This window comes from Homo sapiens, chromosome 20 (assembly GCF_000001405.40).
Source record: "Homo sapiens chromosome 20, GRCh38.p14 Primary Assembly".
NCBI lineage: Eukaryota > Metazoa > Chordata > Mammalia > Primates > Hominidae > Homo > Homo sapiens.
The window spans coordinates 23,911,563-23,925,046 of NC_000020.11; the positions used below are offsets into that span (position 1 = coordinate 23,911,563).

At 49.1% G+C, this 13,484-nt stretch overlaps 1 pseudogene, besides 1 other annotated feature; it reads right to left on the bottom strand.

Annotated features, from left to right (window-relative positions):
• Window positions 6,120–6,911: an enhancer, noted in NCBI's record as "H3K27ac-H3K4me1 hESC enhancer chr20:23898319-23899110 (GRCh37/hg19 assembly coordinates)". NCBI's record gives its function as "activates a minimal SCP1, AML or CMV promoter by ChIP-STARR-seq in primed H9 embryonic stem cells {active_cell/tissue: H9 hESC(primed)}" and the evidence as "EXISTENCE:reporter gene assay evidence [ECO:0000049][PMID:30033119]".
• On the bottom strand, window positions 7,209–10,607 carry CSTP1 (cystatin pseudogene 1; annotated as a pseudogene).

Genomic DNA, 13,484 nt, shown 5'->3' on the forward strand with positions numbered 1-13,484 from the left:
CTTTTTAACTACAGTGGGTGTTAGGTCTGTGAACGTTTTGAGGATGAGACAATTCCTGTCTGGAAGACTGGATATCTCCCCTTCTCAGGATTTGAGAGGTAGGATGTTCCAAATGTTCTCAGACCTGAGACCTGCTCAAAAAAAAAAAAAAAAAAAAAAATTGGATTTCCAATTTTCTTTCCAGCCTCACTGGAAATTCACCTTTTTTCAAAAATCTCTTATTCAACTGGAACATTTTTAATCCTTCCTCCAATCTTAGTGAAATGAAAACTAAAGCTTCTATCTGTATTGAACTTTGTGAAATATTTTTACTCACCTAATTTCTTGTGAAATAATTTCACTCTCCTAATTTTCTTTATACATCTGATGAGGAAGGCTGAGCAGGTAACATAACTCCTTGCATTTTTGAAGAAATAAGTAGGAGGGAGGTTGAGGACAAGGTGCCAAGTCATACAATTTTCAGTTAAATTTTGTTCCTGTCGCACAATAAGCCTTATTTGAAACGCGGGCTCTGGGATGGACACTTAGTGGTGTGTGAGCTCCGTTGTTCCTGGGAGCGTCCTGGCTGCAGATAGCAGGAGTCCTGAGAAACACTGGCTGCCTCTCCCATGATGACGGCAGTCATTTACCAAAGGTCGTGGGATGGTGTTCACAGAGTTGCTGCAGTGTCCTCAGCAGGGGCCCAGGTGGTTTCCTTCCATCTTCTCCATTGTTCCTTTGGCTCTTGTTCTTGAGCACATGGCTCATAAGTGAAAGGTGGACTCCATAGCCCAAGGCATCCTGTCCCAAACTACACCCTGAAAGGTGAGGAGTAGAAGCAGGAGGAGGTCACAGGGGGTGAGAGGAGGGTGGGGAGAGAGTGAGAGTGAGAGAGATACACACAGTGGGAGACAGGCTGTCCCCAGGGTCTCTCTGTTTATTCAGTATAGACTCTCTTAGCAGTGACCTGGTTGAAGTCTTAAATGTTTTTGTCTGGATCTGGGTCCTGTGCCTCCAGGGCTGAGGAAGGCTAAGAAATTCATGGGCTGATACTTTCAGTCTTTGCACTTGAGAGCAGGCAGGAGGAAGGGAATTGAGAATGGCTGGTCAGGTTTCCAGAACAAGGTTTCTTACCATAGATCCATAGAGATCCTGTAGAAACTCCATTGAATTCTGAAGGTTACAAATGTGCTTGTGCAGGAGAGTGCATACACAAACACACACACACACACACACCATTTCTAAATTTTTCATCAGATTCCTAATGGGATCAGTGGCTGCACACCATTTCAATGTTTAAGTATCGGTGCTGGGATGTGAATGCAAAGCCGTGAGCTTGCACTGAAATTAAATGCAGACCAATATCTTGAGATTCCCACGTTCGTTCCTTTCAACTGGACTGAGCAGCAGCCTACGTCCTCCTCACATTCAATGGGTGTAGAACATAGGACACTTTCTCTTCCTCCAGGAGCTCACACTATAGCTGAGCAAGGGTATATCCAGAGACATTCAGTGCCTAGAGAAACAAGGAAAAATATACTGAATACTGCATGGCTGTCATAGTTCAGGGAGCATGTGGAAACACCTTACACTGAAAATCAACTTACCGTTAACTCATAGTTAATGTGCCTATGCAGGCACATCAACCATGCCAATAGGACATTCAGCCATAGCATTTGTTAGTTTTAAAAATACAGACATAAGGAGGATGCAATGAAAAATAACCTATAATCTTATCAGCCAAACACCCATGGCTGACATCTAAAAATAATTGGAACACACACAGATTGTAATAATATTCAAATGGACCACAAAGCCACAAAGATGCAAAATTTAAAAAATAAAATCCAAACCACCTATTTTCCTATTCATGCTACAAGCTCTCTTCAAAGATATCCACAGTTAATAATTTCTTATGCTTGTATTTCTTCCTGGAAAAATGCAGATGATAGCTTGCCTCTTTTTCCTCTGTCTCTTTCTCTCTCTCTCTCTGACGTGTATGTGCATATACATATATGTATATGTGGGTATACATGTCTATATATACACTCATACACATGTATGATTAGTTTTGTTTTCACAAAGAACTTTGTATTAACATGCCATATATACCTTTTTTCAATAAAAATCTATTCAAGGTGTATTAAAAATTATTGCCATTTTAACACATATATCCTTATCTAATTCTTCTTAATGCCCATTCCAACACATGTGCACCCTAATTTACTCTACCAGTCTACAGTGGTGACATAGTTTTAATCATGTTGAAGTTTGTGCTATTACCAGGATGCTGCCTGATCCACAGGTTTCACTGCGTGTTGGTGACACCATGAATGATGTGAATTCCTAACAGGAATTGGTGTAGGGGGCGGGCATGTGAACCGGCCCTGACCAATGAGACAGCAGGGGTGGTGAGCTGGGGAGTGGGTAGGAAGAGCCTCCCCATAATCAGGAAGGAGGTGTGGAACAGAGGCTCCTCCCAAGGCTCTTTCTGCCTCTGGATGTTGGTGTTGATGATGTGATGTCTGGAGCTGTTGCAACCGCCTTGCTACCAGCTCAGGGCAGAAGCTTCAAGAACAGAAAGGCAAGGCTGAGAGAATCCCAGGGAAGCAGAGCTACATGCTGGGAGTTCTGTTCCTGAAGCCTGCCTCACCCAGGGGCTTCTTATCATGAAGGTAGAGCATTCCCTTTGCATTCAAGACATTTTTCATTGGGAACTTTGTTTACATGCAGCCAAAAGCCGTCTCAGCAGGTCCCAATGCCTCTACAGGTTTCTTCTACATGAGTTTCTCTTTCCCTCATCTCTTCTCCTGGTCTCCTTCTACTTTTGTGATTAGTGGATTTGCCTCCTTCCGCACATCCCCTTGGCCCATGCACTATGCAAGAATACCGGAGTCTGCCCATGTTATTGTCAGAGGGGGGTTTCCAGGAAGCTAATGGTATTTAAGTGCAGGGCTCCTCACAACCCCAGAAAAGGGTCTGAGCAGGGCCGAGCAACAGGTGTTCTTGGCTGGATGTTTTCTACAATTTTAGAAAGTCAAGTATTTAAACTGCAGTTATTCAAGAGCATTGCCTTTGTTTACTCTGACTTTCTCTTTCCCACTCTCCTCCTGCATGCTGTGTGGGTGGACACAGGCATTTTGGTATCTGGCTAAGAGGAAGCTGAGTTGGGACGCATTTAACCTGGGGTGAGGGGAACACACTCCTGTGGTTCTCAGCCACTCCTGGGCATAGTTACGTTGTCTCTAGAGACCCTGTTGTAAAAATGGCCCCAGGCCTGGCCCCACCATCCGCCTAGGATTTGACCCAAAGCAGCAGGGACAGAGACGGTTCCTAGTTCAGGACAATTCCCAGCACCACACATGGAAAGCCTGTGATCAGTGCAGAGGAAACAAGGTTTGCAATGTGTGGAGCCAGACGCCACTGTGTAGAAAATTATTCCCAGCAGAATTATGGGCAATTGTGAATGGATGATCTCTTTCTTTTTGACACCTAGTCAAAAATGGAAGTTTTCTCCTGTTGAAAATGTACTCACTAATCTGATATATATAATTAGTGCACCATGTAATTGTTTTTACTTTTGATGGGAACTTTGATAGAAATCTTGATTTTTGACATTTGTAGAGCACAGACCTTTGTTTTGAAACTGTCCACAGCAAGAACATATGCATGTGCGTGGCACAGACCCGACAGATGGGAAACTCCCTCCTTGCCCTTCTTATCCTGATGACCTCTGGCAGCTCCAGGCAACACAGATATAAAATAGCGACCAACAGGTGAGAGGGCTTGAAGAGATACTTGTTTCAGGACAAACTCCTCCTGCACATTCAATGAGCTAATCAACATAGCACATAATGATACATTTACACAATTTTGGAGTTCACTACAACAGTGACAGTTTTAAAATGCTGTGATAGTGACATTGTCAATAGTCTTTAAGATCCTAAGCCATAAGTCAAGAACATTTAGAAAATACTAAAATCTTACTGCTCACCTATGAAAGGAAACTAAAAGAGGCTTTTCCAAATTAGATAATAATCAAAAAAATTGCATGATATTACAATTACGAGTCTTAAATTAGAATGGAAACATTATATGCCATTAATTTTACAAGTGATCAAACCTGTTGGTGGAAAAAGTGGCTTATATTTCTGCTATATTTATAGAAAATTCTGTTACCAAATCAATGTCATATGATGAGGCAAGCAGGGATTCCTTAGCTAAGTAGGAAATATAGGAAGAAATTATTATGTGTTTGTGTCAAGTAGCTAATTAATTAAAAAAATTATATGAGGCAATACAAATCATGTGGATTAAGGCAAGGCAAATCTGCCCTTTCATCTGCAGGGTGGATGGATGGACTGATGGGGTCAAAGCCAGTGGCATCATGAACAGGAAACAACTTTTCTCTCAAGCTGCAGGTTTGAAAAGTCAAGCAGACTCTTCCTTGGCTGATGACTGCTTTCTGACTCAATGGAAGACCTTGTTCTCTAGCGTCAGGGCTGTCAGAAACTTTGCTTATGAGTAAGAAGAACATCCCACTGCTTGGAGGATCTAGGTCCACCTTAAACCAGAAGCACAGAGCTACAGAGAAGGGGTTTCTAGAAAGAATCTCCACATCTGGCTGGACTTTATGGGTTCTGAGGACACAGGACCTAGGTCCACTTTGCAGACCAGACCATACCTGACCCTGGCTCCTTTACACGGAGGCCTGCCATGCTCTGAGTGCATCAATCCAGCCTCAAAATCCCTCCTTCCAATCCTATGATAACTTCTTTTCCTTTGTTTGTCGAGTCATCTGAGGATCCTTGATGTGACTGTATTCCCTTATTGCAACAAGCCAATATTGAATGTGTTGACTACAGTACTGATTTTGGTGGCTGGTTGCACTAGGATATGTGTTATTTTCTGGATTTTGTAGATGTTTGTAGTATATCTCAGCATTTTAAAAAATGAGTATTTTGCTGTAATTTGTTTTCTCTTCGTAAATAAACATTAACTTTTGTGCTTTCTTTTGTATTGCTAGTATTGCTCTATTTTCCATGCAGGGAGCCCCTATATCACAGGAGCCTCAGGCCTCACAGCATCTTGATCCATCTGTGCTTGTTGTGCCGAGCGTCCACCTGCCCAGGGAAAGGCTGCACTGTCTCACACTTCCCAGGCCTCCGATGCACTCATTCCTCCTTGCAGAGTGATTTCTCTATGCTGGTTGAGATGTTTCTAACCTCTGCAGTTTCAGTGTTTTACCACTGATTTGGTGTGTAATTTATGTTAAAAGAACTCTTAGAAGAGGTTAATATTTTGAACATGACCTGATCAGGGGAGTTCTTTGCACTCCTCTAAAGATCCAGTGGCTTCGGGACACAGCTCACTGCCCATCTCTTGGCCCAGAAGAAGCACCTCCACACTCTCAGTTTCCCTGCCTCCTGCTCCCCTCCAAGGGAGCAGACACACAGGGAGATGGTGGGGAAAGCCCTGTGCAGAGCCATGACTTCAACCCAAACTTCCCCAAGGAAGAAAGAATTGTGTCAGAAAAGGGAATGATTTACACGAAGTCAGCTGTTCACTGTGTGCCTAGGTGGTGGTTGCTTGCGTGAAAAAAGATCTCTTATCCACGTGGAAAATTATGAGCACCTCGCTGCATGGAAGACTTTTCCACCAACCACCACCTGCTGCTCTGCCCTCTGCACCTGTCTCCCAGCAAAAGCATGAATCACTAAGCACACCCTCCACCGAAAGGTTGAGGCCCAGACTTACATCTCCCCAGCTCATGGCCTCCTGGGCTCTGCTTCATTCCTACATCCCAAAGATTCTGTTAAATCCCATCGCGGTGGAGAGCAAATGGAAGCAGATGCTTCCTACTGTCCCTGTCAGACCATTCTCCTCCTGGCTTTCTAGGGTAGCATATGGGGTGCTGGCCTCAGGGCTGTTTGGGCAGATTTCCCTTTGGCATTTTACCCTCACTGTTCATGGCAGCAGCCCTCCCTCACTGCAGCTGTAGGCATGGAAGATATTTGAGAGCCCTGCCCCAGAGGCACTGGCCGTGAGGGCTGCACTCCTCTGTCTTGAAATGGCAAAAGGAAGGGCTGTGCAGGACGGGCTACATCTTAGTGGATTTTTGTGACACAAATATCCACTATTCTACAGGATGATGCTGACAAGAAAAGGATGTGTTCTATTTATTAAATAGAACCTCCTTGGAAAAAGAAGAGAGTCCATTGCATGGCAGTCCTGCTTGTGTTCTAACTTTTCCATCCCTAACATTAAGCTTGACATGAGGACTGGTTTTCAATTCAAGTCCAGATAATGGACCTGTGGGCGCGAATTATTAAAACCTTCATAGGGCACCGCCTCCCAGCGTGGGCTGCACCCTCCCAGAACGGATGACAGCAGGCGCTGCTTTCTCTGTGATCTTGCCCATCCTTGGTCTGGTTGGCATTTCTTCCAATCAGTTACACGCACACAAACACACACTTTTGGACTTTGTTTCCATGTAGGGGCCTAAAATCTCCTATGGAAAGAAGCACACATCGATTGCTATATGTTTAGTGTCTAGGGGATTTGATGAGAGCAGCTCAGTCCCTGGAGTCTGCTCAACTCTGCAAGCACAGATGGAATCTACGGCCTGGCGAGCTCCACTGAGGCCTGGCCCCTGGCTGTGGATATAGCCAGCCCCCTCCTCCTGGTCTGACCAAGAGCTCAGACCAAAACAGCAGCCCAGCTTCGCGGGCAGCAGCCTGGGCCCACTCCTCTCCCTGACCCCCTCACCAGGGGCTGCTGCAGCTGAAGGCCTGGGTCCCGAGCCCCTGGCTGCTCGCTCCCTGCTCTGAGGCTCAGGTCTCCTATAGCAGCAGCTCCCCTGACAGCCTTGCTGTGGCCATGTCAGCTCCCAGATACTCCTCTGATCTCCACACCAGCAGGACAAGGAGGTTTCATAAAGGAACTGCGGAAACCTTTCTGTGTGCACATCCCTAGACAGCCAAGAACTCAGAGGGAGGCGATGCTACTGTTTAATTGCAGGAAGTGGGGGGCTGTGAGAAGCAAGAAAAAAGGAGCAAGGACAGAGCCCCCTGCTGAGCAACAAAGTCCTCCTGCTGCCTTCTCTTTTGGCTCCTGGTGCAGGCACATGGGGAGACCTCCCCCAGGGTTGGGGCCACCAGTCCACGGGTGGGAGCACTACAGGGGGTGGGAGTAGGAGGTGGTCAGTGCGGCTGGCCTTGCACAGACCCCTAGGCTTTCCCACACCTGGATTTCACCAGGGACATTCTGTCCTTCAAGGGAACTTCGTAGATCTGGAAAGAGCAGAACTGTTTCTGTGAAAGGAAAGAGAGGGGGACAATCAGTGTGGGTTGCAGTTAAATCAGAAGACACCCAGGTATATCATTTCAGAGTGGGGCAAGGACAGATCCAGGTGAGACACTGGGTTCTCACCCTCCCCCGCTGAGTCCCAGAGCACTGAGCCCGACTGCACAGTGACTGTTCCATCACCCCTCTCAAGGCTCCAAGTCACCAGGTGGCATTGGGCCCCCACCCCAGCCTGCAGGATTCCTGCCCCAGCACAACCCGAGCTTGTGCATGGCCTCGGGAGCCCCAAGGGTGCAGGGCAGGGGGAGGTGGCTCACTGCCCCCAGCTCCTTCCACCTCCAGCACTCAGGCCAGCACTAAGAGGGACCAGAGGGAAGAACCCAGGGAACTGGAAACTGTAACTCAAAAGGGTAGTGAGGAGATGACAAGGAGAGTGTGGCTCTCCCCTGAACAGAGACCTCACAAGAAATCCTGGGTTCTTAGAGAAGCTGGTGTTGGGTGAGCTGGGGCAGGTCCAGGGCTTCACTGCTAACAGGCATTTAATTCCCTCTAATCTGCTCAGAGAGGCTGTGGCTGTGGGCAGGTGCATGAGGCTGGGATTAGACAGAGCCTCTTCTCTCTGACCAGAACCCAGCCCTCCTCCAGTCCAGCAGGCAATACCCCAAAGCACACAGGGTGGAGCTCCCAGTACCCCCATTCCCAAGCTAAAGCCCTCTTAGCAAATCAAATTAATCACCCGTCTCCACACCACCTCATCTGCACACACATAGGCGTCTCCATAAGCTCACCCCAACCCTCACCCACACAGATCTATGCATGAACCCACATGCATACTCCCTCAAACATCCATCTACCCACATACACACACACTCTCATGTACCTCCCACATGTGGGCACACACATGCTCCATTCCACATACACCCATATATGCATACCACCCCCACATACATGTATGTACACATATAACTCCACATTCACACACACATGCATGCCCCTCACAACAGGCACCTGCACGTGTGTGCACAAACCCACATGCATCTCCACAGGCACATGCGCACACCCATGCATGCATGGCTTTCATGCATCTGCACTCATGCTCCATTCCCTTCAAAACATGTGCAGGAGCAGACACACACACACACACACACACACACACACACACACCACTCACACCCCTCTGCACTGCCTGACATCCCTGACCCACATCAGTCACATACCTCCTTCAACTGTGGCTGGTCACTGAAGAGACAGTTGTCCAAGTCTGGCTGAGACTTAGTGCATGTGGTTAGGTCTATCTTCATATCAAAGAAGTAGCTCACCCAGCCCACATCTACAAGCACGAAAGAGCAGGGTGCATGGGAAGCACACTGTCAGTTCCGTGCACACACAGGCATTTCACTGTGATTGAGTCACTGGGTTTGCCTGGGGCTTCATGCCTGCCTTTCTGAACCGCCCACACTGTCACCCACAAGGCATACACACTGGCTGGCAGTGGCCCCGGGCGCCAGGCCTCCCTGATAACTTGTTTTCTCTAAGTAACTGAAACAAGGTGTCTCATGCAGCCCAGTAGGAGGAGAAGCAAGGGCAGGGCAGATGGAAGCCAAGGCCTAAAACCCCCTTCATTGGATTCAGGAATAGAAGGCACAGCTCTGGGGAGCCAGCCAGGGTGGGGCAAAGAAACAGTCCTGGCACCAGGTTTGCAGGGCGGGTTTAAGCAGCAAGTGAATGCTCTTTCCCACAGCAAAGGATTAACTGATTTCTGCTACTTGTGGCTCAGAGGCCAGGGACACTTGACCTGTCCTAGGAAGGCTGTCACCTGATGATGAAATTTCTGCTAACTTCCAGCTCCTGGCATCCAGCCCATAGAGCATCTCATTCCCTCTATTAACCTAGATTTATTTATGCTTCATATACAGCAGGAAATGAGAGGCTTCACATGCACAGATGTTTTAGGCCAATAACATATTGTCTCTGTAGGATCTCCATTCTAAGTGTGTTGTTGGAAGCAATATTTCTAAAGTGAGCAGCACACCTGCATGTCTTATATTTGTGATTGCAGAGTGGAATTGAGCCCTTTTCCCTGCACAAGGCCTCCTCCAGACATGAATGGTGAGAACTGTGAAGCAGTGTGAGACAAGGAGCCCCGGGGACCACGTGCAAGTCCTGAGATCTCTCTGGTGTCAGTTTGCTCACTGTAAAACATGCTTCAGGGCCCAGTGATCCTTATCATCCCATGTGAGTGTCACACTTGAGAGAGGGGTACAGGCCAGCAGGGATCCTGGCAGCAGGGAGTGCCCCTCCTGTGCAGGGAGAGGGCCCCAGCTGACAGCTGCAGGAGGAGAAACGGGGCTGGTCTGGACTCCTCTGAATTTCCAAGGGAAGGTGGAGGAGAGCCAAAGGCTGTGTCACTGTTTGTTGCTGTGCCATGGGATGCAGGTCAAAATGGAACCAGTAGCCCTGCTGAAGCTCCCTCCCGACCTGACCCCCTCCTCCACTATGCTGGGTGACTGCTGTCCTCATCTGGTTGAGGTCTGATGCTATGTCAGCTGGCAAAAGCAGGGTCAGGCGTGCTCCACCCCAGAAGGAACTCAGCTGCCCTGGGCTGTCGGGGGTGGTCAGCCAGCCTGAGGGTGAAGGCCACTCGCCCTAGGGGGTTGTGCCCAGGGGTGTGACTTTGGGAGGGAAGCAGGGCTCTGCAGGACAAGGAGCTAGGCTCCGGTGTGGCCCCTGCAGAGAGGACTCAGGGAGGAGGATGAGCCTTATGGCCTGGATCTCATCCTGAGCAGCACCAAGCCCACCCAGAGCCAGCATAGTCTCCATCCACACCTGCTGGACCCTGGGAAATGCCACGGTCATGGCACAGACCCAGGAGCTGATGCAGGTTAAAGGAGGCCAAGTGGACAGGACAGGGCTGAGCTCATGCACTCATGGCCCGGGAGCGTCCTAGGGCATGAAGGCTGTCAACAGACAGTCAGAGAAAGCTGAATGAGTCTGAGCATTAGATCATGAATGTGTCAGTGCTGATTTGCTGGGAATGCTCTTGGGGTTAGGGGGCAAATCTGGCTGGGACTCAGGACCCCTTGGGTGGTGGCATCACCCACCTGCTGTTGGCCTGGCAGCACCTGCGGGGTGACTGTAGTGTTCATCATTCTCTCCTTGTTGTACTCACTGATGGCGAAGTCCAGGGCATGCTGCCATCTATCATCATTAAGGTCTGCATCACAGATGTCACTTTGAATGATCTTTCTAGCCAGAGCTGGGGGACTCTAGGCTAGGGCCACAAACAGGGCAGCCAGCAAGGGCAGTGGAGTGTGCAGGGGCCAGGTTGTGGTCTGCTGGGACAAGGACAAAGAGTGAGAAGGGGGAAGTGCAGGAGAGTGAAGGGGCATGATCCTGAGGCAGGGAGCCCAGACCAGCAGGCAGCTGTGCATTAGGATAAATGGATAAAAGCAAGACAGCCTGGGGGCCCCCAGCCCCACGTCCTTCCATGCCCTGCCCCTAGATTCTCCCTCTCTTTCTGCCCCTCCTCTTTTTCCTTTGTCTCCCATTCCATCTCCCCTCACCTCTCTCCCTGCCTAAGTCCCCCTGTTCTTCCAGGCCCTTCTCCTCCATCTCCCCCTTCTCCTAACTCCTCTCTCCAATCCCCAGCTCACTTCAGTCTTGCCCTTCCTTCCCAGTGCTCCCAAGATTGGGTCACCCTGGTCTCCAGAAAGGTGACACTGCTGTCTGTGTTGTGAAACAAGGTGACCTTCTACTTCCTTAGAAAAGGGAAAAATAAAAGGCTTGGCATCCTGGGGTCTTCAGATGTCAGGGAAATCTGAGAGCACTTGGTGAAAGTTGGGAATCCCTGGCGCAGGGAGACTATTTTAAACACTCCTGGAAGACCTTGTCCATTCCCTGTTCTGGGGAACTTCTTTGCCAAACATAAAGGAATTAACCTTTTGGGAAAAAGTCAGTGGGTTCTCTTTTCATAACTCATTATTTAATAAACAAACCTGTCACCAACTTCTCCCAGCACCATGTGGTCTAGAGCTTGGGATGGAGCCTGGGTGACTGAGCTATGGACGTGACATTGCAGAGCCGCTGCCCAACAGATTGTGACATGAACCCATGAGCAATTTTCTGTTTTCTAGGAAACACATTGAAAAAAGAAAAGAGAAACTGGTGAAAATAATTTAAAGAATATCTCTTTTTTAACCTTATATATCGAAAATATTATTTCAACACATAGGAACAACAATTATTAATAAGAGAGTTTACATTCTTTTGGGTATGTGTAAGTCTCTGAAATTTTTACACTTAGACCAAGTGTCATCTTGGACTGGCCCCATTTCCAACATCCCATGGTCACCTGTGGCTGGTGGCTGTGGAACTGCACAGCCGAAGTTAGGGTGTGTGTGGAGATGGGGAGCAGTGATCAGATGAGGGGAGTAGATCTGTTCTGCAGGAAGTGAAATAGAATGGAGGGTGGAGAGAGATGGGTGCCACCGGACCCTGGTCAGGGAGGTCTCTATGAGACTGGAAAGGTGAGAAGCCCTGTTTAGACAGGAAACAGCTCCAGGCAGCAGGAACAGCCAGTGCAAAGGCCCTGAGGTGGGGCTGAGTGTGCCTGTTCCAGGAAGAGGAAGCCCCTGGAGGGAACGTGAGCAGGGAAGAGAAGGACCTGGAGTCTCACAGTAACTGGGGGTGGGGCCAAGTGGAAGGTGCAGGGAGACCCCCTGGCAGGTGGTAAGAGTTGGCAGTACAGGGATCAGCAGCCGCGGGATGAATGTGGGAGCCACACTTCGGGCTCCTTTCCTCTCTTCACTGCTTGGAAAACTCATCTGACTTTATGACATTACAGTGAATGAGGTCGGATTTACATACAATAAAATGCCCAATTGCAAGTGCCCAACTTGGGGGATTTCATAAATGCATATACCTGTGTTACCACTTTGTCCAGACCTGTGACATCTGCCTTGCCCCAGATGGTATCCTCTTGCCTCTCAAGCCCACTCTCGTGCCCACCCCACCCTGGCAGCCCCTATCCAGCCCTGTAGACTCCTTTGTCACCTGTCCTTGAGCTTCCCAGGAATGGAGTCCTGCAGAGAGAGCCCATGTGTGTCTTTGTCCTTTGCTCAGCGTGGCTTTCCAGCGAGCCCTGAGTTGCTTCATTGCCAGGATTGTGAGTTCTCCTTCTCCCCAGATGAGGAGATGGGTCAGCTGGGTGCTCTGTGGGGTGACAAAGTCCCCAGCTCGGATGGCTGCGGGCCTGGGCTGGAATGTGACTCCAGGAGTGGGGAGGGTGGAAGGAGGCTCTGAACAGACAGCTGCTCCCTTTGTTCTCTCAACCCCACCCTCCATGCCTAAAGGTGACCCTGTGGCAAATCCCTTATGGTGAAGTGGCAGCCTTGGCCAGAAACGCCAGGAAATTCTGGGCCTTTGCCAGGGACCCAGAGGACTCTCCTGGGAGTGGTGGAGGTGAGGGTTGGCCAGTGTCAGCCCAGACCTGCTGTAATCCTGGGTCTCAGCCATGGCTGGGGCTGGATCAGCAGGAACCCGGCAGTGGGAACAATATTACTTACGGATGCTCATATTCATTGTTAAGATTGGGAAACTTGTTACCCAAGGCCAAGTGACCCTCTCACCCACTGTGAATCCAGCACCCCTAGAAAAGCTGTGCACCCCAGCAGATACAGTAGGAGGCCCAGGGATGGTGTTTACTGCTGGGTGAGGGAAGGAAGGCCCTCAAACAGGGCAGCGCATGATGCCTCCTAGTTAGACAAGAAAGACTGGGAGCTCCACAGATAAGAGAAAGAGGGGTCAGCCCCTGGCCAGGTACTTCCAAGCACAATGGTCATCTCCCAAGTGTGGGGGTTGGTTCTTCTCTGTGGCCCCCAGCTTCTTGAAGCCACTGGGGCTCCAATCTCAGGAAGATGTGTTGTACAGAGGGTAAGATTAAATAATCACAAATCTCCTAACTTCTATCACTAGGAAGAAGGTGCAGGTCACCCAGATAGGGGGAGGGTAGTGGTGAGTGGAATGTGGGGGAAGAGGGGCTGGAGTGCTGACCTGCACCCCTGAATGTGATGACATTACCTATGGTCATCCTCTGTCAGGACACTAGCATGTGCTGCAGGGAGGGCCAGCTGTCCTGATCAATGACTGCTGTAATCCTAACAGGACAGACAGCATTGGTGGGCACTCTCAGGAGCTACGGG